General features: G+C 36.1%; 1 long non-coding RNA gene across 2 annotated transcripts; it reads left to right on the forward strand.

The window, feature by feature from the left end:
* Window positions 1-1080: 1080 nt before the first annotated feature.
* On the forward strand, window positions 1081-22918 carry LINC01497 (long intergenic non-protein coding RNA 1497). Of its 2 annotated transcripts, none has more exons than NR_110874.1 (5): window positions 1081-1211; window positions 3756-3926; window positions 20618-20747; window positions 21703-21836; window positions 22759-22918. It is a non-coding gene; the product is annotated as a long intergenic non-protein coding RNA 1497 (long non-coding RNA). The 2 variants fall into 2 exon arrangements; NR_110875.1 differs by having other exon boundaries at window positions 20645-20747.
* Window positions 22919-26444: the final 3526 nt, after the last annotated feature.

Below are 26444 nucleotides of genomic sequence, written 5' to 3' on the forward strand. Positions count from 1 at the left end.
GAGCTCGTTATGTTAATTAAGGTGCATCCTTGGATTCAACACCTCTCGAGTTAGGGGAAGGAAGCAGACAGGGCAGAGAAAGAAGTTGAGCTTCCACGGAGACCCATCACAGCTTCAGGGAATCTCATAGAGATTTCTAGAGCTAGAATGACCCTTCAGCATTTTCTCAGGTTGATTTGCAATGAACAGGCCCTTACACTCCCTCCTTGATCAGTTTTTGGATGTGGGCTCCCTGCAAAGGGATGTGTCCTTGGGCAAGGCTGCTCTCTGTAACAGAGGCAATCCTTGGAAGGGCAGCCAGCTTATGGCCATCTGCCAACAGCTGAAGAGCAACAAGTTCTTCAGTGAAGGAAGGCCTGGCCAGTGCAGCACTGGGCTCATTTATATTAGGTAACTCCAGGTAAATGTAAGTGCATTTCTTAGAGGTGGGATGAGGTACTTTGAAGTACCTCACTGAGTTTAAAGGCAAAGGTATTGATACCCACAGTTATATTCATTATTTCTGGTTGAGTTCAATTACACTGAATTTGAGATGGCAGTTTGAAAATTTACTGTCAGTAACTACCAAAAAAAAAAAAAAAGAAAGAGCAGAGCATTGTCTTCGCGATTATGCTGGGACACTTTCAGAGTAAGTCCCCAAGATACAAGGTCCAAAAAAAATACTGATGTGGTACTCAATTGTGGTTCTTTGTAGTCTCTTTCTAAGAGAACTTCAGCTGCATGTTGGATGGAAAACAATATGAAACAAGGGAGAGAGAGAAGAAACAGAGTTTGTTAATATTCTCTGCTAGATTCTGCAGAGGAATCACTTTATTTTGCAGTTGCAACTAGCTTAAGTTATGTAGCTAGAAGTTATGTAGCTAGAAAGCTGACTTGCACACTTAAAGCTAATGAAGAGAAATGCAGGTTTTCCGGGGTAGGTTCTTGGCACTTCTCTGCAAATAGGTAAAAGGGAATGGCAGATATTCAAGCTTAGGGAGCAAGCAGCAAGGACAGAGCCTTCCCCGTCTCTGTGTGTTGAAGTCAGCAGATAGCACACCTGCTGCTGCGTGAGTTCCTTCTGCCAAGCAGAGCAGCACAGCTGCAAGACACCCTGCTTCTGGCTCTGAGCTTTGCTTGTCTTCAGGGATGGAGCCCCTCCCAAGGCAAGTTCAACTGGGTTCTTTGGCAGCCGAAGTCTACACGGACCCTGCAGGGAGCGGTGGAGAAAAGTGAGTTTGACATGCTTGGAAATATTTAGATCTTGGATGTAAACTTCAAGGAAAATATTTACTCTGTTTGTTTTAATACCACAGAGGTTTGGATCCCGGGAATCTTCAGAGTACAAAAGGCTCTTGCCAAGGCACCAATTTAACAATTTGGTCAGTGACAAAAGGGCATCCTGTTTAACTAGTCTGAATTTAAATAGCATGTTTCCAATGTATTAGCATGTCTGTCTCATCTGTTTACAGAACTGTTTTCTTTAACCCCTGAATTTTGTGTTTGGTTTATGAATTTGCACAGAATCAAATACAGTTTTTTAATAGAAAGCAAGCAAAAAAGCGGATCATCACATAGTTGAAAGAGTTGCTACCCGGGCATTGACAATAAACTTCCCACGATTACTTGACCATTCAGAGCAACCAGATCCTTGTAGAAGGCTACAAGCTCTCTTTACTCATGGCTCTTGGTGAAAAATTCCTTACTGTCTCTTTGCTGGTGCTGAGAAATACTGCAGAATGCTAAAGGACTGTCCAATTATATTTTTGGCGAGTGAATTATGATAAAAGAGAAGCCTTTTGTAAATGTGACTTGAAAAGTGGCGTATTTTGTGTCCTCTCTTTGTGTTTTATGCAGAATCCCTACTGCAGGACACAACTTTCAGGACTCACACTGATTTCCCTTTAGTTTTCTGTTTTTGTTAGTCTGCAGCAGAGTGGGAAATAGTTACTGTAAAGGGAAGTCTTAAGAAAACATATCAGTTATGTGCACAATATGTGTACATATATGGAGGAAAAATAGACAAAAAAAGGAAACTGGCATCACAATGCTCTCTCTAAGGGCCTATAAGGGATGAACTGGGACTCCTTCCTGCCTTCGGATAGCACATCAGGCAGAGAAAATGTTAACCATTTTTCAACTCTCAGAAAAGCAGATTTCATGATGTCATACAATGTCCTATTCCACTGTCAGATTGCTTCCCCACTTTGGCAATTAAAAATAATTACACTTTTTTTTTTTTTTTTTTTGCTGTACTGCCAAGCCAATTTCTCCTATACAATTGTTTTTAGACATGGCGAATGAACAGCTGCTTTTCAATTATTGGACACAGTTGTATTTCAATTCTCTTTTAACAGCTGTGAAACAGAATTCCTATTCAGAATTTTATAACAGTAAACCACACAAAAAGACTACTGTTGTCTCTCTGCTAATGGAGATTTTGTGTCCCACTTCTTTTTCAGTACCATTTCCCAGATGCTGTCTATTATCTTTCCTCCATCTTTGCTTGACTGTTACTACCATGTGTATGATTCCAACCAAGTCTGATGTCTGCTGATTAAACTTTCTTTACAATACCTTGGTCATTTTTTCCCTCCGTCAGAAGAGAAAGTTATCCCACTTCTCCTAACCAGTTGACAATTAAGTGAAGAAAGAATTTTAATACCTAAATGGTCATTCTGTCACTACCCACTATTGTCACATTTCTTCTTAGTTGGATATCAGTCATAAGAACAATTAGAGTGGGAAAAAGTCAAACATGTAAAAATTTATATTTGCTAATAAACTAATTTGCGTGGGAGCCATTAGAGAAATATAGACTCATCTGCTTTACAGCAGCTTAGAACAGACAGAGATCTACCAGGCCAGTTAGTATAACTCTAATGCCTTTCATCTTGGAGAAAGGAAAACAAGCTAGAGTGGTTAAGTAATTTTTGTTTTCAGATAAACCATCTCTGTTGTAGCTTAGATATCCTAGAGCTCAATTCCCCAGTTTTAGTAGCTTCCTTATTCTGTTTTTTGGTGTGTTTTTTTTGGACGGAGTCTCGCTCTTGTTGCCCAGGCTGGAGTGCAATGGCTCATCTCAGCTCACTGCAACCTCTGCCTCCTGGGTTGAAGGTTCAGGTGATTCTCCTGCCTCACCCTCCTGAGTAGCCGGGATTACAGGCAAGTGCCACCACTCCTAGCTAATTTTTTTTTTTTTTTTTTTTTTTTAGTAGAGACGGGGTTTCTCCATGTTGGTCAGGCTCGTCTCAAACTCCCAACCTCAGGTGATCCACCCGCCTCGGCCTCCAGAAGTGCTGGGATTACAAGCGTGAGCCACTGCGCCCAGCCATCTTCCTTACTCTTTAACAAATGGTAATCTAAAATCAGAGAAAGCATGGTTCTGAAACATTGGAAGGTAAAGTAAGAGAACTATATGTTGCCATTTAGCTGTAATAATAATTCTCCTAGTCTCTAGGCCAGACTGAATTTCCATCTGGTAGAGATTTATGCATTAACTGTAATACTTGATTTCCCCTTGAAGTTCAAATCTCTTTGGGAGGTATTAATTTTATCTTATTTAGGCATTTATACAGAGTATGAACTAACAATCTGAGAGTATGTTTTGATAGGCTGAAAGGAGGAGATGCATGAGGGATTTATACAATGCCATTTAATTTAAACTTATAAATGTAATGTTAATGGCTGTGTATTAGTTTTCTATTGCTGCTGTAGCAAATTACCACAAACTTAGAGGCTTAAATAATACAAATTTATTATCTTCTTGCTCTTAGGTTAGATGTCTGAAGTGTTTTTCATTGGACCAAAATCAAGGTGTTGGCTGGGCTACCTTCCCTTCTGGAGACTCTAAGGAAGAATCCATTTCCTTGTCTTTTCCAGATCCTAGAGGCTACCTGCATTCCTTGGCTTTTATCCCCAATCTTCCATCTTCGGAGCCAGCAACAGTGAGTTGAGTCCTGATATGGCATCACTGTGATCTCCTCTGCTGCTCCTTCTTCCATTTTTAAGGGCCGTGTAATTACATCGAGCCTACGTGGATAACCCAGGATAACCCCTCTCTTCTAATATCAGCTGTCAAGCAACCTAAATTCCATTACAACCTTAATTTCCCCCATTCAGCCATATAACTTAATATATTCACAAGTTCCAAAGATAAGGAAGTGGACATCTTTGAGGGTGTGTCATCATTCTGCTTAACATGGAGTGTAAGAGAAAAGCTACAAATATCAATGACTTAACTAAATAATAAGTTTATCTCTTATTAACATTGGGAGTTTCTGGTAGAGCAATCCTCTAAGTGACTATTCAGGGACTTAGGCTCCTTTCATCTTCTGCATCTGCCTTCCTACTGAGCTTGAAAGCCTTCCCTGTCCGGTTAATACATGAAGAAACAGAGAGAGGCTTTTGTGTGTGTGGTTTTATGCACCAGGCTTGGAGGCAGTGAAAATTATTTCTACCTATATTTTCATTGACAATACTCAGTTATGTGGCTATACCTAAGTACAGTGGAAGTTAGGAAATATAGTCTATCTATGTGCTTGGGACATGAAGAAAATACATTTGATGAAGAGCTAGTCAGTCTGTGCCAATTCTGTCCATTTGTTCACCAAACATCTATTCCATTTTTCCTGCCACACATGGAACACACGGGTGTCCTTTCTGAAGGTGGAAAACTAAAGGTCCCAACAAGTCATTGCAGAAAACTTAAAGTCCAGCATCCTTGAGTGATGCTCATCTCTCTAGACCAGAATTGAAGTGGCTTCTTTGAGCCTACAAATGATATATATTTATACACACACACACACACACACACACACATGCAAACAAACACACACATGCATACATATACCATGCAGGGAAGATACATAGATACGGGAAAACATTTTAGACACCTGTTTGGTAAAGGAAAAAATGAGAGGCATGCAGCTGTTACTGAACCATAGCAATTTTGAAATCATGTTAGGCACATATTAAGGGTCCTATTATTTGGCTGGGAAAAAATCTTTCGTTTATTCCTAAATTATGCTCCCTAGAATCTCCTTTCTTCACTGTTCTCCATGGTTACTGATTCCAGCCTCTGAGAGATTCTTCTTTGTCTATCTTTCCCATGACCTTCAGGAAGTGGGATTGGAGATTATGTTTGGTGCTGATAAAAGCTGGGGGACCCAGCACTAATCTTAAAGCTTAAGAAGTCAATACTTTCAGTCCATGCTCATAGAATCCTTAGGGAAACAATTTTCCCCAAACTAACAGACATTGAAATTGTCTTGTTTCTAGTCAATTACATGTGCCAATAACTACATTTGAAGTTTTCTCAATGTGATAATTCTCATGACTGATTTATTTTTTGCTTCCTCATATACACCATTCTAAGCCACTCCCAACCTCCCTGAAGCTATCTGAAATAATATTTTTGAATACTGTTTCCTTAGTCTAATCCTTATATTAAATTGTCTGTTTTTTAACAATAATTTTATTTGATTGTTGTCATTCAGAGCCTTTTTCAATTTATCTTAATTAGGATGCAGAAGCACTCAGGTTTATTAACTCTAAAAGTTATTGATCTCTGGATACATATCCATTTCAATTTCTGCTTCAAAATAAGTCTGTTTTTGTCTGTGCTCATCTCTTTCTTGTAATACATTGCTAAGAAAGGCCAATAGTAGCAAATAGGCACTGTTACTCTCATATCAATCTCTTGTCCTCACGTCCAAAAACTACAGGCTTATAGGCTCATGAGGTGTGTTGTGCCTTTCTATTTAATGTATGAAGTGGTTTTACCATATGTTTTGCCATGAAACAACATGACCTGAACCTTCATTGTTCCAACCTCATCTATCAGCCTCCATGAGGCTATCTGAAATAATATTTGTGAATACTTATTTCCTTAATCTGATCTCTATCCTAAGGCTGCATTATAGGTTCTGGGATCCTTCCCTTTTCAGGGACAAATGGAAAAAAACAACAAGGATCACTTGTGGGATATTGTGATAAAATGGGCCTGAAATTGATTAACATCTTTTCTGCCCACATTCTGTTGGTCACAATTAAGTCATATGGCCATATTTAATTGCAAAGTGTGATAGAAAATGTATTTGTGTGTGTGTGTGTGTGTGTGTGTGTGTGTGCCCAGTGGGAAATGGCAATGGATTTTAGTGCATATGTGCAGTCTCTGTCACACCAAAAAGTACAAAACTAAGTATCTGGGTATGCCAAATTCAGCTATATTGTTAGACGGTATTGCTTAGAGCATTATGAACTATTATTGATAGTTACTGAACATTTAACAGCAAAAGATCTGTTGATAGTATGATATCAATGTGCAGACGATTTAAAAATCTTGAGGCATTCCAACTATCATACACAAATCAGAGGCAATTCATTTACTTAAGCTCATTATTGACTACCTATTATGTATTGGACTTTATGTTATGTGCTATGCAAAGAAAAAGCACAGGATATATCTGTAACCTCAAAAAGCTCTCAGTATTCCAGAAGAGGCAAACATACACACAAGTAACTAAAACACATTTTTTTGTTCTATTATGCAGTTATAAACATTATATAGGAGCACAGAAGAGGGAACTACTATGTCTAGTCTTATTTAAAAACAAAAGAAAACAGAGACAGCAAGAAAATAGTAACTATTAAGAATGCTGTGGTTTGTTTTTGTTTTTGTTTGGTTTTACTATGTAAATGAAGTATCTCATCAAATAAGGAAGACTTTATGAGCAGGGAGTTATCAAAATGCTGAACATGGCTGGACGCGGTGGCTTATGTCTGTAATCTCAGCACTTTGGGAAGCCGAGGCGGGCGGTGACCTGAGGTCAGGCGGGTGGTGACCTGAGGTCAGGAGTTCAAGACCAGCCTGGCCAACATGGTGAAATCCTGTCTCTACTAAAAAATACAAAAATTAGCCAGGCATGGTGGCAGGCGCCTGTAATCCCAGCTACCTGGGAGAGGCTGAGGCAGAAGAATCGCTTGAACCTGGGAGGTGGAGGTTGCAGTGAGCCAAGATTGCGCCATTGTACTCCAGCCTGGGAAACAAGAGTGAGACTTTGTCTCAAAAAAAAAAAAAAAAAAAAAAGTGCTGAACATGCTGCCCTGAAGAAGCAAAACCCAAAGGTGTTCAAAAAGGTCAGTGGTTTGTCTAATTCAATGTTTTGGGGAAGATATCTTGAAATCTTAAAATCCAGAACAATATTTAAAGTAAGAAAAGAAGCAAAGCCATTTTTTCCTCTTTGGTGGTTGTTATTGTTGACGTTGAAGAGTAACTGGAAAGAATAAGTTAAATGGTCAAAAGTTTGTTTTTGAGATGCCTGCAGTATGGCACTTGGGCAACCTCCCATGATGCTAGATCCCTGTTGGGTCTGACGAAGGCAGACATTCATTAAGCCTCTCACCACCAGTGGTTGGATCCCATCCACTTCATGCAAGTAGACAACCACAAGTATTTTATTCCGTATATCAGTACCAGAAGCTAGGAGCATGGAATGCACACAGTATGCTTTGAACCTCATAATTGTTCCTTGTAATAATAAATTTTTACATTTGAACCTGTGAGTTATCAAGGAAAAAAAAACAAAAAGCCACTTTGGTTAAGGGATAGACTTAAAATAACAGGAATTATGGAAATGGAAAAATACCACTTTTCTTTGTTGGCTCAAGGATTTATGTGTGGGGAAAAAATGATTCAGAGGTGATGGCCTTTCTTGGACATTAACAAACTGTAGAGGAGTTTGCGTCCCTGACAATGGATGGTGTGTAAAATCTAATGGTGGTGGGGGTGGGAGGAAGAGGCTGGATGTGGCAGAAAAAGAGAGGCTGAGCTTAGGCAGTTTTATACTTACAAAGGGAGAAATTGTTTGGATTTTTTTTCTTTTTTGGAAAGAATATCTATTGTTAAAAGTCACTTCAGCCTTTGCTAGAGAGTGAGAATAATTGGGCTTTAAAATATTAATAGAATATGAATATTGATGAAAAGTGAAATATCCTACAAACAACAGGCTTTTTCCAGCCAATTTGTTATACTCAACTCATGCCGATCGGATTCTGAGCTTTATACAAATAAACTTTAGATGGAAAATAAATCAAACATTTAAACATTAGAAATCTCATGACAAAAGAATAGAGAAACAAATAGACATTTCTTTCCTAAGAGTTGAAATTAAAGAAAAAATTCACAGTTGAAATTTCAATACATTAAAAAATTTCTAATGTAAAAACTTATTTTCTGTTGAAATGCAAACCACATATTACAGTGATAGTTACATTACATAGGGGATTGAGTTCATCTCTTAATGCCTCATGCAAATTTATAAGAAAATAATTAGCATAATTAACAATAATTTATTGGTCGATGTTATAGTAAATGTATAAATGAACAAATAAAAATAGCAGATATGCTAATGGAAACTGTTTAATTATGCTAATAATAAGAAAGTATCATAAGTTAAGATGTTATTTCACATATTAAATTATGGTAAACACAGAAAGAGAATGTTTAAAGCTAGCAAGAGTATCATCGGCCTGATTATCCTTCACTGATGATGATGTTATAAATTGGTAAAACTGTTTTAGGATGCAACTTGAAAACGTGTGTATTTGTTGATTGAATAAGCTGAATTTAGTGGATGAAATTGTGAAATGATTGTATTTTTCTTCTGCAACAGCCTGTTAAATTCTGTGTTGAATTTTCCATCCTTGCCCCCCGACAAAAACTTCTGATAAATTAATCAGTAGAGCTGATTACCAGTAGAGCTGATGTACAAAAGCCTAGTCAAAATTAAGAAACAAAACAAAACCAAACCACAAAATCTTTTATTGTCTCATCCTCTTTTAAGCTTCTCCCCTGGACCCCTGATGTGGGACTTGGAAAATTACAGTAAGGAAAGTAGATACTTCATTATTTTCCCACTTTATTCTTTCATCTTCCCTTACTCAAGATGTTATTTCTTGACCCCGTCTTGGTGATGTTGGGTAGATAAGAGAAACCAGGGTGGAAAAGTTATTTATCAATCAACACAGTTGTAATCTGGAGCCAGACAGATACCTAAATGCTGTCTTCCTACTGAAGATATTTTGTAGGTTCTTCAAAAAAGCCAGTGAAAACAATCTGCTATATTATTCACTGTCTTGGGCAGTGCCCCAACTAGCTGGCTATGAATGCCATCCACCTGAACCTCTGCTTCTTGGGTAATCTTTCTATAGCCTCTTAGTGCTGTTGTCTGTTAGCCCTCGCAGGTAAGCCACATGTTGGGATCCTTTCTAGGTAATTTATGCCTCGCTACCCTCTGTAGGGTCCACACTGGCTCCACTTTTTCTCCGTGTTCAGCCATCAAGACTATTTCCAGCCAATCTCCTGTCTTTAAATTTTGCAGGCAAGAGCTGGCCTCTTTGTTTTCCAAATCCCTCACATATCAAGATCTAAATTCCCTCACTTGGCCTGAGGTTAGTTAAGAAAGTATGAAGGAAGGAAAGAGAAATGCTGAGTAATGCTGACAACTGTTCCAAAAAAATAATTGATCAATTCCCCTAATGAATGCTTACCTTTTGTTGTATAAGGGAAGGCAGGTGATGGACTAAGAGCAGCTGAATCTGTTTTGGGAAAGCCCTTTTGCAGCTCACATTTAAAAGATCGGGCATCTCTCTTCAGAAGGTACAGTAATTATTGCATACACTTTTGAGCTTTGAAATCGTAGCCCAAACTGAGACAATGGAAAAGTCCCATTTAGATGTTACACATTTTAAAAAATCTTCAGAATTTCCAAACTTTTAGCCTCTAGGGGAAGAAAACAGAAACAACTAAATTATGTAAAAGCTTGGTGCGTTAAGATAGTAATTATAGTGTTAATTTGAAAACTATAAAATTTGAAAATGAGAATTTGAAAGTAATCCAATATCTCATAATAGGAGAATAGTTAAGAAAGGGCATATCTAAATTAAAGAAAACCTGCCTTCTAAAATAATGAGCTATGTTATTGTGCAGGAAAATATAATACAACATTGAGTTGGAAAAATGAGACATAAAATTGTATTTACACTATGTTTATAACTATGTAAGGTACATATTTAAGAGGTTTGGGTCAGGAAATAAAACAGCTAGTTGTCTATCACAGCCCTGGAACTTGGTAGCTCGGTAACCTTAAGGACATTATTTAAAGTCTCCAACTTATCTCTCTAAAAAGAAGATAATACTTTCTGTTGTTTTCATGAGACTTACATGCGCTAAAGCATTGCCTGGCACTTAGTAATTAATTAAAAAGCTCTATTGAAAGACTGAAAAGGACACACAAAAATGAAAATAGGAGTGATGTTAAAATGATTTAAAATTCTTTTACATTATTTGTAATCTTCCCATAATGCTGTTTTGTTACTTCCATAATTAAAAACAAACTAAAAAAGCTAAACAGTAGGGGGACAATATATTGGTGACACCAACCCACAAACATGTAGGACATCTAAACAGGAGGTTGCACCAAATTGAGGCTTCCTCATATATCACAGACAAAATTGTTTTCCCAAGATACTGTGTTAACCAATCAATTCAATGCTCATTCCAACCAATTGGCATGTTCTAGTAACCTTTGTATCACCTGGGTATCATTGGCATAGATTTTAAACATACGTTACAGCAGTTCACTTTGCTTTCTTTGTAGTCCATTTCTGTCAAGTTACAAAACCCAAATAAAATATTTCAGAAACAAACCAGGGCTATTATCCAGTTTATGAGCATTTAGATAAAAAGGGAAAAATCACAACCCCCTGAAGTAGGCTTAATTCAAACAAGAGAGTATATCTTGCAAACCATTCGATAATTTTTATTACAGTTTTTGATATGCACTTATTATCTAGACTATAATCTGCAAATGAATTGGGTATTAAAGTAAACCACTTTTGAAAGTTTGCAAATAAACTATCTCCCTATATATTATCACTCTTTTATTTGCTCTTATTTGGACTAATAAAGATGAAAACATTATGTGCCTTATTTCAAACCAATAAGAGAGCCAAAGAGAACTTTGAAAAATGATGTAAAGGTTGAAAATTTAAAAGTGCTTCCTTTAGTGGGTTTTGGACAAGAACCTTGACCATATCCCAGAAATATATAATTGATTCACCTAAGCTTGTTTCTTAAAGACTAAGTAAAACTATTATTCACATATGTACTTCTCATATGGCTTTATGCTGTTGCTTCTCGTGATAACTTAAAATAATTTTTAAAATCCATATTCTCAGATTTGAGGTGAAATCTGAACAAGTGCAATTACGTGTCTTTCTTCATAGTTACACGTGGATAAACTACTAAAAATAAACCCCAAAATAAAAACATTTTAAACGTAATATTGGAGAATTTTCTTCCATTAACTCTTTATTACTTAAAAGACGGTGAATTTTGTCTGGAACCTTGTGGTCAACTATTTTAAAATGAACATAGAATTGGGGGTAGTAGGTCATTGATATTTCTGATTTTTAAAAATTTGAGTTCAGTAGTTTATCCATCAAATGTTGCTAGAAAACATTAAGATCTGAGTGTCATACAACTATAAGCATTGATTTCTGAGTTACGGCAGCTGGGTGGGAAGGGTACATCTTGGCTGAGATCAGCTGGTCTTTGGTTCCAGCCACGTATTTGGATCAGTTTTGCTCCAAGTGTTCTCAGCTTTTGAGAGTAGTAGGCTGGATGGGGAATGTTCTCATGATGTGGGATGAAAGGTCCCAAAGGTGATGAGAGAAAAAAAAATGCCACTTAAGGCCTAGGCCTGGAATGTAGGCCATTCCCATCCCATTATTGTAAGTTACATGCCCAAGTATTGCTAATGCCTATTCCTCTCTGAGAGATGAGAAAGAATGGAATGACCATTCCTGAATAACAATTTAATCTCCCACAAGTGATACATATTGTACTTCATGTTCCTACAATGTTGTCATAAACATTTCCACCCAATGACTAAATTCTCCTGCTTCTTTTCTCTTTAATGTCTCTTCCTACTTCTCTAGTTTCTTGGGTTACGAATGCCACATATCTCCCTTAAACTATTCCAATGATCTCCTTCCCTGTGCTTTCATGGACTTAACCTTCATCTTCTAAAATACTGTCGTTAACTCTGTATTGTAAAATTGGGGCATATTATTCTATTCCTTATAATTCAGTGACTCCTTATCATAATAGGTGGGCAAATTTTCTTAAGGTGGAATAGGTGACCCAGTCAAACTAACTTATACATGGAAAAATGACTAAAAAATAACCCCCCAAATAAAAACCTATTAAATATAATATTTGAGAATTTTCTTCTGTTAATTCTTTATTACTAAAAAGACTGTGAATTTTGTCTGGAACCTTGTGGTCAACTATTTTAAAATGAACATAGAGTTGGGGGTATTAGGTTATTAACATTTCAGATTTTTAGGAATTAGAGTTCAGTGGTATATTAGTTTGTTTTCATACTGCTATAAAGAACTGCCTGAGACTAGGTAATTTACATAGGAAAAGAGGTTTAATTGACTCATAGCATGGCTGGAAGGCCTCAGAAAACTTACAATCATGGCGGAAGGTGAAGAGGAAGCAAAGCACCTTCTTTACAAAGTGGAAGGAAGGAGAAGTGCTGAGCAAAGGGGGAAGAGCCCCTTATAAAACCATCAGATCTTGTGAGGACTCACTCACCATCATGAGAACAGCATGGGGGAAACTAACCCCATGATTCAATTACCTCCACCTGGGCTTTCCCTTGACACGTGGGAATTATGGGGATTACAATTCAAGATGAGATTTTGGGTGGAGACACAGCCAAACCATATCAAGTGGTATATCAATCAAGTTTTGCCAGAAAACAATAAGATCTGAGTATCATATCATACAAATATAAGCATTGATTTCTAATTTATGGCAGCTGGGTTAGAGCTTCTGCTCTAATTTCTGCATTACATTTTAGACATCCATGATCCTCTCATGATTTCATACACCTTGATGCCCCTGTCTCTGCAATATTATCTATCTGTAGTGTCTTCTTCCAATGGTCCATGAGTCAAAGTACTCCTGATCCTCCAATTCTACCTCTTGTCTGAAATTGAACCAGTCAGGAGACACTAGGTTAGGAAGCAAATGACAGTGGCTTATAACCACAAACATGTATTTCTTGCTTACATTACATCCCCATTGCTGACTGGTTTTAGAACTCTTCATTCCAGGACCCAGACTAATGGAGTAAATCTTATCTATTTATTTCACCTTAGGGAAAATAAACATAGTGAAGCACGTTCTAGCTCTTAAAACTTGTGTTTGCCACTACCACACTCATATTTCACTGGCTGAGGCAAGTCACATATACATGTCAGAGTTCAACAGGATGAAGGTGTAAAACTCTTCCTCAAGAGAGAAGGACATCTCAATGTGAGGCAGTAAATATTTTGAAGAGTATCAAAATCTACCACAGAAGTGGCCCTTTTGTCTTCCTGTTAAAGATTTCTTTTACTATGTTACAACAATAATTAATATAACTATCACTTGCTGAAATATCTATTTTTATTGATATCTATATATCTTTATTGATCACTCAGTTCATTGAGTACTTTTTCTACTTCCCACATAACTTCAGGCAAAAGCATTACTAATTTTTTTACTACAACATAATGAATTCCCTCTTTCTCTAGTTTCCAACATTTGCTTCATTTACCTGTGAGCCCTCACCTGTAGCTTTAGGAAAAACCACAAGGCTTCTATTGACGGTGTGTTCGAGGCACTACAGACTGTCACTAACCCTTTCGTCAAAGCCCATTGCTCAGTTCTAAAGCCACTTCCACATTGTGGGTTGGTATTTTGCCACCATCTCACTGTTAATATTAACATATGATAGTTACATGTTGCTCTGTAACAAATTACTACAAAACTTAGCAGCTTAAAACAGCAAACATTTATTATTATCAGTTTCTGAGGGTCAGGAATCCAAGAGTGGATTGGCTAGCTGCTTCTAGCTCAACGTCTCTTGTGAGGTTGCATTCAAGCTGTTACTGGGCCGCAGTCATCCGAAGGCTTGACTGGGGCTGGGAGATCTGCTTTCAGTATCACTCATGGGGTTGTTGGAAGGCCTCAGTTTCTGCTGAGTGTTATCCAGAGGCTCCAGTTCCTCACCACATGGGTCTCCCCACAGTGCTGCTTGAGTGTTCCTCAAGACCTGGCAGCTGGTTTCTCCCAGGATGAGAAATCTGAGAGAGATGTCCAAGAGGGAAGCTTCAGCCTTTTATAACTTAGTGTCAGAAGTACCAACTATCAATTCTGCCATATTCTGTTGGTCACACAAACTGTGATACAGTATATGGAAGGACTATACAATATTAGGAGATAAGGATCATTGGGAGAACAATATGGTAGGCTGGCTTTGACAAATAGTATTTTTTTCAACCTTGAAAATCCAGAGCTATCAGAGAAACAAAAATGACTTTAATGTGACTAGTTTAGTTGACTATTTATATAGTTATTTAAAAAAATCTCTTTTACCTGTGTGCCAGCCCCTATGATAGCTGCTGGTCATGTAGAAATGAAAATGTTTCTTTCTTTGAGGACATTACAAACTATTAGGGAAATAAACATACACAGTTATGTATCATAATTTTGTTTCATCAACAATAAACTGCATATACAACAGTGACCCCATAAGATTACAATAGTGTATTTTTACTGTACTTTTTCTATGTTTAGATACACAAATACTTACCACTGTGTTACAATTACCTACAGTTTTAAGAACAGTAACATGCTATACAGGTTTATAGCCTAGAAGCAGTAGGCTAAACCATATAGTCTAGGGGTATGGTAGGCTATGCAATCTGGGTTTTTTGCGAGTACACACTATGATGTTTAGATAACATCATCGCCTAATGATACATTTCTCAGAATGTATCCTCATCATAAAGGGATGCACCACTGTGCAGAAGTTAAAAATTACTTTATACATTAATTGCTGTAATAGAGTACCTACATATCATAATGAGAGTCAAAATTACAAGTGGTTAAAGACTTCGACTTTTGGAGTCAGATCACAGAATTTTGATTCCAAGCTTCACCATTTATTAGTTGTAGTACCTTTAGCAAATTACTTTACCTTTCGTGACTCAATTTTTTCATTCACTAATACAGAAAATAATAGTGTTTTCCCATAGGGTTGATACAAATTTTAAATGACTTCTACAGAGATAGATATATAGGAAGGTAGGTAGATAGATGATAGATAGATAGACAGATATGCTTGCAGGTATGTGAGTCAAAAGTTATTTCAATTTGAAAGAAGTGGTGTTCTTGTCATGCAGTGGTAGCAAATTTAGAAACATTGTCATTTGCAGTTACATATAAAATAGAATATATGTGCAATAAATTTGATAATCCAGCTAAGTTGTGACAATGATGACGTCAATTGCATGCATGGGTGGAAGAGGATACAAAGGCAGTTTTAGATAAAGAATTTCATCACTTATTGGAATAGGCATTTCCAATTTCTTGCTTATTCCCAACATTTGAGCTTATAATAGAGGATCAAAGAGGAACTTTTTTTCTCTTTATAAAAATAATGCCTTTAATTATCTGAAGAATATAAATGTGAAATGGATAATTTACTGTGTGGATATTTGTGCTTGTTAAAGTAAGAGTCTGGATATGATTGAAAATTAGCCATGCAACAATTCTAGTCTTTCTTATTGCCATCTAGCCTGCTTTGGCCAAGATTGTCATAAAAAGCTAGAAACATTGCATAGCCACTGTGATAATCTGTTCTGGTGGACCATCTATTTGCATGACCTTGGTTATAAGGTCATGCAATGTGCTAGAGTTGGTGGGGAAAAACTTGTGCCTTTGAAATTTAAGAGCACTTTTTATTCCCTCTGGTAGTTTTCCTGAAATTCCGTGAGTAGGACTTACCTAGCTTGATTCTTCGTTACTTGGAAATCCTGAATAGTTTCTCTTGGAAGTAACCTGATGGAAAAAATTAAAAATGTTTCAGAAGAACTATTAATGCTGGGTGTTTTCTTTTTCTGAAGCATTTTATTTTTATTTAGACTTAGATCAAGAACACTTATGAGATTAAAGTTAGCTGATCCAGCATGACAAAAATTGTTTTTATCAGAATTTCAAACCATAGCTTTATGCATCGGTAGGCTTGACTCTGTTTTTAACAATTGTCTTTACCTTTCTTGCACTTTAAGAAGATAACAAATTAAAAGCTTTTTACTACAATTTTGCTTCAAATGGCATGTTATTGCCTTAAAAAATAATAGTTTCTGAGGAATGTTAAGGGAATGTTTTAAGAAAGCACTGACACGGTCTCCAGAATCTTTTCATAGCGGACATTTAGTCCCATTCTTATTACCCTTAATGGTTGTTCCTTTTTAAAGAACAAGTACCAAATGTATGATGGGGACTTCCCAGAGAAAGACTAGGTTCTATTACTGGGTTTCTGCAGGAAAAAAAACAATCTATAGGAATATAATGAATAAACCCAAAGGAATTCCATTTTTTTAAATAATTTTTTTTTGTAAACACATACTATAGTCCTATCAACAATTAGATAAAATTTACATGTTGAAATTCTCAAAATCCACCCATGGAAAAACATTTGTAAGATTTCAATGGTGTGGACAATGCTGTGGATTGGACAAAGGAAGAGCAGGCTTCTAAAGTCCAAGGAGATCGCCAAGTAATTGGATGCTCTATGATGTGATTTAGTGCCTCTGCCAGAACAAGGCATCCAGGAATTAGTGTTGCCCTCTTTTAGTTTTACATAGGAGAATTTGTGGTGTAGAAAGAAAAGAAGAGACTTTGGAATAAGCAGACCTGAGTGCCATTGATTAACACCTTCAACTTCCACAGACTTCTGAATTGCCCCAAACATCTGGTTTTTTCACTTCTGAAACAAGGACAGAAATTAAAGGGATGTTGGGAAGTGAAATATCTAGCAGGGCTCTCACCAAGGTTAGTTGCCTTCCACTTGCTGTTGGTGTTTGTATGAGTTAGATTTATATCTAATTTCTTAATGTAATTCACCAGAAGGTTATAGTTTTCTCCATGCACAAATAAGCTCCACAATGACACAGAAAAATTTTATCCTCTGTGAAGAAGACAAAGGTCTTAGAAAGGTAAATTTTAACCTGTTTGAAAGTAGCTGTGGAATAGTGGAAAGAGAAATACTCATGCAATTCTAACCCAAGGCTTAGCCTGTCACCCTAAGCTGTCAGATCCATGGCTTCCTCCTTTATGTGATGAATTTAGTGAGATAAATTATTCAAAATATAGAAGATGATTAATAAAAGCCCATTATGAAAAATGAAAATAAAAATGAACTATAACTAACTGAAAATGAAGGATGCCTTCCCTCCTGATTCATTTTTAACATAAAGTGAACAAAGACACTTAGAACCGTGGGGCACCTGCGCTCTTTCCTCTGTTTTTATGAATATATAACAGGAAAAGGAGAGGGAGATTGTCATACATCATTTTTTTCTAAGTATGCTTTGTTACAGCAGCTTCACTAATTAATCCTGCTACAACCCAATATGTGGGTGAATTCTTCTGTTCAAAGCCTTTGGAACAATCAAGTGTGTCCCAACATGTTTTATTTCTCTTTTCAAGTTGCTACACGCAAGTCCTGATCTGTTTTCTTCTAGTTAGCATGTTGCTGCAGAAAAGGGCTTTATCAGCCTCATGAGTTTCAATATCAGATTGAATCTGCTGTGATGCTTACAGACAGATGACAGCAACTCCCAAGCAGCTAATGGTGTGTGATTTTGATCACATTCCCAGGACTGAAAGTGTGTTAGCATGAACCATTCCCACACATTCACCTGGTGCTCCTGTGACTGTGTCTTGAGACCAAAGACATACTTTTTGAGGGAGATTATACAGGTCCCATGGGGGGTAACAGGTCAAGTAAACATCTTGGAATGCAGCTTATGCTAGAAAGTCATTATTAAATTATTTGCCTCTCATGTGAAAGAACCTCAATGGGTGGTTTTAAAGATGTATTCTAATTATTTTTCAGTCAAATGAAAATCAGTAACCAAGATACAAATTATACAGCAAAGATTCCACAGAAACAAATTAATGGAAAAACTGTGAATATGATCTTTTTGTGATTAAACATTTCTAACATGAATGTTCAGTTTTATGTTTCTTCATATTTCAGTGATGAAAAAATTTTATTGTCTTTCAATTTTATTGTCCTTCAAATTTTATATGTCTTTCAAAGTCAGTCAACACTGACTTTGTTCTGAACCTTGAAGGTCTTGTTTGGTGCCCTGGTTTGAAGTCTGAACGAAAAGAAACCAATCATTATAAAACAATTTTCACATATTGTAAGATACAGTATTATCTGTACTTTAAGTCACTCACCTTGTTCTTTATTCTGAAATTCTTTGGGAACACAATATCATTTTTAGTAATAAACAAGATAAAGAGAGAAGTGACAATGCCAGAAAATAGAAAATCACTTGTTTACTTGGTTTACTAAATTTATTTATATAATATTATTTTCTTCTTGCAGTTTTTGTTTTGCTTTGTTTTAGTTTATACATGAAAGCAAACAAGACATAATACCATGGCTCATAGTTTCAGATCATGCATTCCTGAAATTCCCAATCTTTTACAACAGGAAAACTTCTAAGATTGTATTTACAGTTGAATTTTACCCGGATAATATATACTGTGACTATAGCGGCTGAAAATGGAACATTCATACAGTTTTTTAAGTCCTGAGCCTATCAATCAAATAAGAAGTATAGTGCAATCATTATTATCAAGTGAACTAACCTGCAAAATATACATTTAGATTGCCAAAAGTTTAGATGGAACAAGGGGAACACATAGACAAAAAGAATCATCCCCAGCTAAAATAATTATCTATTTACAAAACTTCAAGCTCAGAGATATTTGGCCCAACTCATTGATGGGCAGGTTCAGCATCTCCAGATATTTAGTTCAAGAAGCCCTGGTTTTCTTTTTTATGCTATTGTTTTTTTTAGGAATTGGCATGTTCAGTTAAAAAAATCCAAATTTTAATATTGGAAAAGCGAATCAAATTGGTTCCTGGAACTATTCTTTAGGCAGCCTCAATTGTTCAGAGAGCCTGGATGTGGTGAGGTTAACACTGACCTTCAAAGTTGGAGACAAGCTCTTCCAGCCTAGTCTTCCACATGGATAATGATACCTGGAATCAGTGAAGTTACAAAAGATATACATTATTTGTATAAGTATCTGTACAAGGTTTCAAGAACACCTGGTAGTTTTTAGCTTTTCTTCCCTCACACTGCTGCCCCAGTATATTTTCTTTCAATGCAGAAACACCTTACGTTACAGAATGATGACAGTATGAAAGCTGTTCAGAACTGTAAATAATGATTTTCCATGCCAGTCTTTTTTTTTTGGTACATATATATGATAAGGCTGAGAGGAAACAATTAAAAATAATGTCTATTTTATTGCAACTAAGTTTATAGCCTTTCAATGTAGAAACTCCTGAAAAACTTGGAGAGGCATTCAAAAGACTCATAAAATGCCCTTACATCTCAGTTCGAAAGTGAATGCATTTGTAGCCTTTCCGTTTTTGCCAAAAAAAAAAAAAAAAAAAAAAAAATGAAAAATTCTGAAACGTTTGCCCTTTTTTTCCCTCAGATGAGAGGTATAATGTCCTAGTTGCTGAGGTCCTCTGGAAATTGAGATAACTTGAAATTTTCTTATTCTCCCTCATCTAGGAAATTAAATAAACAAATATATCTTTTAGTATGTGGCCGTGGGAACATGAATATATTGACTGATTTTTTGGAGAACTAAGGTGGAAAGAATGTTCTTTATTTAGCTGCAGGTATCTGATATTTCCCTCTAAATAAACTCAGCCATAGACTTAAGACTTCTTAAAAGTTCATTTGTATGTCTGCCCAAGTAATACATCTAAATCAGATTTTTTCAGTCTTGACTTTATTGCCATTCTGAGCCAGAATATTCTTTATGTGGGTGAGGGAGTGTTCTGTGCATTGCAGAATGTTTAGTGGCATCCTTGGCCTCTATTGACTGGATGCCAGTAGCTTCTCCAAGCCCCACCTCAATCGTGACAACCAAAAATGTCTCCAGACATTGTCAAATGGCCCCTGGGGGGGATATAGCCCTTGGATCAGAATCGTTACTGTAAATCTTGCAAAACAATAATACTTTACTACTTCTAAGGCTTAATATGTTAGTTATCTAGGATATATGGATATATATATTTATATTCTCTTATAGATAGTTTTTGTCATTCATATGCAATTCTCTAAGCTCTTTGATTAGTCTACTAAAAGAAAGTGAAGATTGGCTTAAACGTAATTTTTTTTTCTAACTCTTACAACGTACCGTGTATGTCTGTTATATTTTGAAAACCAATTTTAATGTGTTGGCTGTCTGTTCATTATTGATAGAAACAATTTCTTGCCTTTACTACATCACTCAGGGGATCTTGGATCTTAGTTCAGGAACAGTGTTTTGCTGGGCCAGCTTCATGTGTGATCATGTCACTATTTTAAAATATATTTGCTGATAATACAGTCTTATGTACAGCTGTCCTCAAGAGCTAGCCAACAACTGTCTCATCAGGATGGGTTTTCCATCTTCTTCTTCTTCCAGCACCTTTTTCTTCCTTCCATGATATAGATATATTGATCATGAGGAGAGGGCTCACCCCTCACCCGGAGAAGTAGTTGGGGAAGCAATATGCGGAAACAAAGCCATGAATCTGACAAGAAATGTACTTAAGGTAAGTAATAAGATTGGGTTGCATTTTTATGATGTGCTACAAAAAAAATGTCCTCAAAAAATCTAGCTCTGGAAGCCAACCATTATTCACTTTGGGGGAGCATGCCATGCAAAAGATCTCCTGGTTTTGGGAAATCACACAGTGACCTATGTTGTTTCTGCTGCCTACCGAGGAACACGGACGCAGCTTCAGTCTAAGAAAGAACGTTCAATTGAGGCAGTCACTTTCTCTGGGCCAAATTACATTCTTCATAATCTCCCAAGTGTTATATTTAATTTACATTTGAAATAGAAAATATGTGAACATAGACTTTGGCTCACGAATTATTTCAGTTTTCTGAATTCAGGAGAATGTGCTTGTTGAAGCAGATGTTTCTGAATTTTATTTTATTACTGAAATTTCCACAAATATAAATCATTTAAAAATACATGATTTAAGAGTTTAATAACCTGAAAATGACCACCCAGCAAAGTTTTTGTATCTTTCCTCAGCATTTCTGATCATGTGTTTTCAAGAAAGCATTGAATTTTTTAGCAAAGCTTCTCATGCAGATAATCTCTTAAAGGTTTAAATCTCTTACGGAGCATAAGAAAAATAAACTATTTTTTGACTTCAATCTAAATGGAATTCTGTACTCTTCACAAGCCCCTGAATATTTCATAACTCTGAAAGATGCAAATGTAAATTTCCTATGAATCCCGATTTTATTCAAAGATTGAAGCCCTATCACCTCACTTAGAACAAATTTCATCCATTAACAACTATCTTGCAGGTAAAGGGAAGCCAAATATAAGTAAAGTACTAACAAGGCCAATTACGTTCAGGTGCATGGATGATTAATCATAAAATTCACAACGGAGGACACTCTGTGGGTAAGGAATATGATTCCTTTTTGCAAATAATGTGGTATATGTATATATTTTTCTTCTCTTCTCCTTTCACATGCACTGTTTAGATTGTATATATGGAGATGAATACCCATTGTCCTTTGCACTTTCTGGATGATAAATTAGAAAAGAAAAATCCAAAGAATGAAGTTGTGCTATTTGTCCTCACTTCTGATTTGGGAAACTAGAGGAAATTAAGATGGTTAGTATTGCTATGATTTTTTTCCCCCTGAACCCTAGGAAATAGGAATTTAAAGTCCTTAAATATATTTTCTATAATCAACAAATTATAAAGTTATTTTCACTAATCTTTTTGAAAATACAAATATAAGCCAGAGGTTCTTATTCATGGCTCATTTCTCAGGACTTCATAAGACCATGAAGCACAGTGAAACCCATATATTGAATAGGTCTCATGCAATCTGCCTGCATTGACTAAACCAAACCCACTCATTCAAACTTTATCAAATATTTTTTATCCTTTACCATGTACCAGAAACAGGACAAGGGACGCAGAATATAGAGGTGAACCAAAGAAACAGTTCTTGTCCTCAAGAAGCTTATATTTTAGTGTAGCAGACAGAGGCACAAAGAATGTAAACCAATAAAGAGAAAAAGATAATTTAGATGGCAGTAAGTTATATAAGGAAAATTAAACAAGGCAATGGGATAGAAAACAATGACCAAGATGTAGAGAAAACTTTGGCTTGGGCTGTCAGGGCGTGACACTCACTAGAGAGATTCCATCTGAGCTGAGATATAATAAATAAAAATGATCTAAACATGTCGATTCAGGGAAAGACTACTTCAGGAATTGTAATCACAAAATCCTATTCCTAAGATAGGAATGGGCTGGGTGTCCTTGATTTAGAGAAGAAAATCAAAGTGCGTACTCTAGGAAGTAAGATTAGGTCCTGCTAGGGACTGAACCGTGTTTCTTAAAAATGTGTATGTTGAAGCCCTCATCCGCACTGTTACTGCATTAGAGATATGGCCTTTAAGGAGGTAATTAAGATTAAATGAAGACTAAGAGCAGGGCACTAATCTGATATGATGGGTGTTCTTATAAGAAGAGACACCAGATCTCTCTCTCTCTCTCTCTCTGTCTGTCTTTCCATGCACAGGGAAAAGACCATGTGAGGACACAGTGAGAAGGAGACCATATGCAAAGCAGGAAGGAAGATCTCACTGGAACCAAAAACCAGCCCTGCTGGCACCCTGATCTTGGACTTCTAGCCTTTCTCAGAACTGTGAGAAAATAAATTTCTGATGTTTCAGCCACTCAGCCTGTGGTCGTTCGTTATGCAACCCTAGCAGACAAACAGGGACCTAGCTTAAGAACTGGTTAAAAATGAGGCCAGTGAGGAATTTGATACTCTATGGTTGGGAAAGTTTGATTTATTCTAAGTGCAATGGAATGGAGCTGGGGATATAAATTTTGGATTTACTGGCAGGTGAAACATATTTTAAAATAGACTAAAATTAAATTTCCTAAGGACAGAATGTAGACAGAAAAGAATCAAGGTTTTATGACCAAGATCCAAGTCACTCCAATATTTAGAGTTCTCCCAAGCATTTAAAGAAGGCTTACACTGATTCTATGTAGCATCTTCCAAAAAATAGAAATTTTTCACGGCATCTTTCCAAGTCATTATATGAGGCCAAAATTACCTTGATATTTTAACCAAAGACAGTACGAGAGAAAAAGCTATAGATCAATATCTCACATGAACTTAGACATAACATTTCTAAACAAAATATTAGCAACTTGAATCCAGAAATATGTAAAAAAGAATTATGCAACATAGCCAAGTGGGATCTATTCCAGGTATGCAATGCTTTTAAATGTTTGAAAAAAAGTCAATATAATCTACCATATTAACAGGCTAATCACATGATCATATCAGTTGATGAAGATCAAATCTATGACAAAATTTAACACCTATTTATAATTTTAAAGAACCTCTCTAAAAATAAAAAATAGAAGGAAATATCCTCAAATTGATAAAGATCATTTACAGAAAACACAAAAGCTAGCATTACACTTAATGGTGAGAATCTGAATTAGTTCCCCCTAAGATCAGGACCAGGCAAAGATGTTTGCTATCATCACTCTCATTCCATATAGTGCTGGAAGTTCTCACTGGTGCAATAAGGCACACAGTGGAAATAAAGACACTGAAATTTGTGTTAGTTAATTTTGTGTTGCTATAACGGAATGCCACAGAATGGATAATTTATTAAGAAAATTGTTTATTTCTTACAGTTTTGGAGGCTCAGAAGTTCAAGGTGCAGGGGCCCACATCTGGTGAGGGCCTTCTTGCTGTATCATCCCATGGCAGAAGGCAAAAGGGCAAGAGTACAAGATAGAAAGAGAAAGAGGGATGGGGGAAGGTTGATATGAGGGAGCCAAACTCATCCTTTTTATCCAGAGTCCACTCCTGAGATAATTAAGTCACTTCCGCAATACATCATTAATCCATTCAGAGCCCTCATGACCTAATCACCTTTTAAAGGTTCCACTTAACGCTGTTGCACTGGGGATTAAGTTTCCAATACAAAAACTTTGGGGGATGCATTCAAACTATAGCCAGTTTGAATGGAAAAAAATTTAACTGTTTCTATTTCAAATGACCTAATTGTATACATAGAAAATTCCAGGCAATCTTTTAAAAACTCCCAGAACTAATGTATAAGTTTAGCAAGATCATAGGATCCAAGACCAACACACAAAAATCAATCATATTTTTATACGCTAGCAATGAATATGTGGAAAACACAATTAAGAATACAAGACTATTTACAATTATTTCAAAAAAGAGAGAAATAATTAGATACAAATCTAATGTACACATAGGTCCTCTATGCCAAAAATGACAGAACCCAAAGGAACAAATGCAAAGGACCTTTAAATAAATGGAGAGATGACTTTGTAATGGATAGAAAGATTCAACATAATAAAGATGTCAATTCTCTCCAACTTCATCAACAGGGGCAATTCAATTCATATCAAAATTCCAAAAAAATTTTTTTGCAGATATAGTAAAATTTATTTTAAAATTTATATCTCAAGGCACAGGCCATGGACTAAGTAAAATTATTTTGAAATTGAATAAAGTTGGGTAGATTATTATATCCAATGTTAAGACTTAATATATGGCTACAATAATCAAGAGAGTGTGATATTGGTTGGGGGAATAGACTCATAGATCAATGGAACAGAAGAGATAACCCGAAACTAAACAACACAAATATGCCCAGCTGATTTTTGCAAAGGTTATAAAAGCGGTTCAGTGGAAGAACAGTTCTTTCAACAGATGATGTTAAAGCAATTAGATGTCCAAGGGCAAATAATTGAGTCTCAACCTAAACCTAATACTTCATTCAAAAATTAATTCAAAGTGTATTATAGATTTAAATATAAATGTAAAACTAAAAAACTTTAGCATAAAACAAAGAAAAATTTTAGGAAGTAGGGCTAGATGAGAAGATCTTAGATATGACACCAAAAGCACAACTCATAAGAGAATATAATTACTCTATTGGACTTCATAAAAATTAAAAACTTTTGCTCTGTGAAAGACTACATTTAGAGAATGAAAAGTTAATCTAAAGTTAATCTACAGACTAGAGGAAAATATTTGCAAATCACAAGATTCAACATAGGGCTTCTACTTAGAATATATAAAGAGCTCTCAAGCTGAACATTAAAAGAAAAATAAGCAGGCTGGTCTGAAGATAGCGAAGTATCTCAACTGATTGTTCACAGTTCGTTAAGGATCTTACTCTTTGTTCTACAATTCCCCCCTTCTCACTACTGCACTTGACTAATAAAAAAGCAATTAAATTAGAAAATTTATAAACAAAATTAACAAAAGATTTTTAACTGGGGAGAGATGATATCTCATTTTAGTTTTGATTTGCTTTTCTCTGATAATCAATGATGTTGAATGCGTTTTCACATGCCTGTTTGACATTTGTATGTCTTCTTTTGGGCAACGTCTATTCAAATCTTTTGCCCATTTTTTAAATCAAATTATTAGATTTTTTCCTGTAAAATTGTTTGAGCTCCTTATATATTCTAATTATTAATCCCTCATCAGGTGGGTAGTTTGCAAATAATTTCTCCCACTCTGCACATTGTCTCTTCACTTTGTTTATTGTTCCCTTCATTCTGCAGAAGCTTTTAAACTTGATTTGACCCCACTTGTCCATATCCAAAAGACAGGCAATAACAAATGCTGGTGAGGATGTGGAGAAAAGTGAATGCTTGTACACTGTTTGTGGGAATATAAATTAGTATAACCACTCTGAAGAATAGTTTGGAGGTTCCTCGAAAAATTAAAAATAGAGCTACCATATGATCCAGCAATACCATTCCTAGGTATATGACCAATAGAAGGGAAATCAATATATTGAAGAGATACCTGCACTCCCATGTTAGCTGAAACACCGTTCATAATAGCCAAGATTTGGAAGCAATCTAAGTGTCCATCAATAGATGAATGGATAAAGAAAGTGTGGTACTTATACACAATGGAGAATTATTTAGCCACGGAAAAGCATGAGATCCTGTCATTTGCAACAACATGGATGGAACCGGAGATCATTATGTTAAGTGAAATAAGCCAGGCACAGAAAGACAAAGATCACATGTTCTCACTTATTTGTGGGAGCTAAAATTTAAAACGATTGAACTCGTATACATAGAGTGTAGAGGATGGTTACCAGAGGCTGGGAAGGGTAGTTGGGGTTGATAGGGAAGATGAAAATAGCTAATGGGTTAAAAAAAATGAAAGAATGAATAATA

This window comes from Homo sapiens, chromosome 17 (genome assembly GCF_000001405.40).
Source record: "Homo sapiens chromosome 17, GRCh38.p14 Primary Assembly".
NCBI lineage: Eukaryota > Metazoa > Chordata > Mammalia > Primates > Hominidae > Homo > Homo sapiens.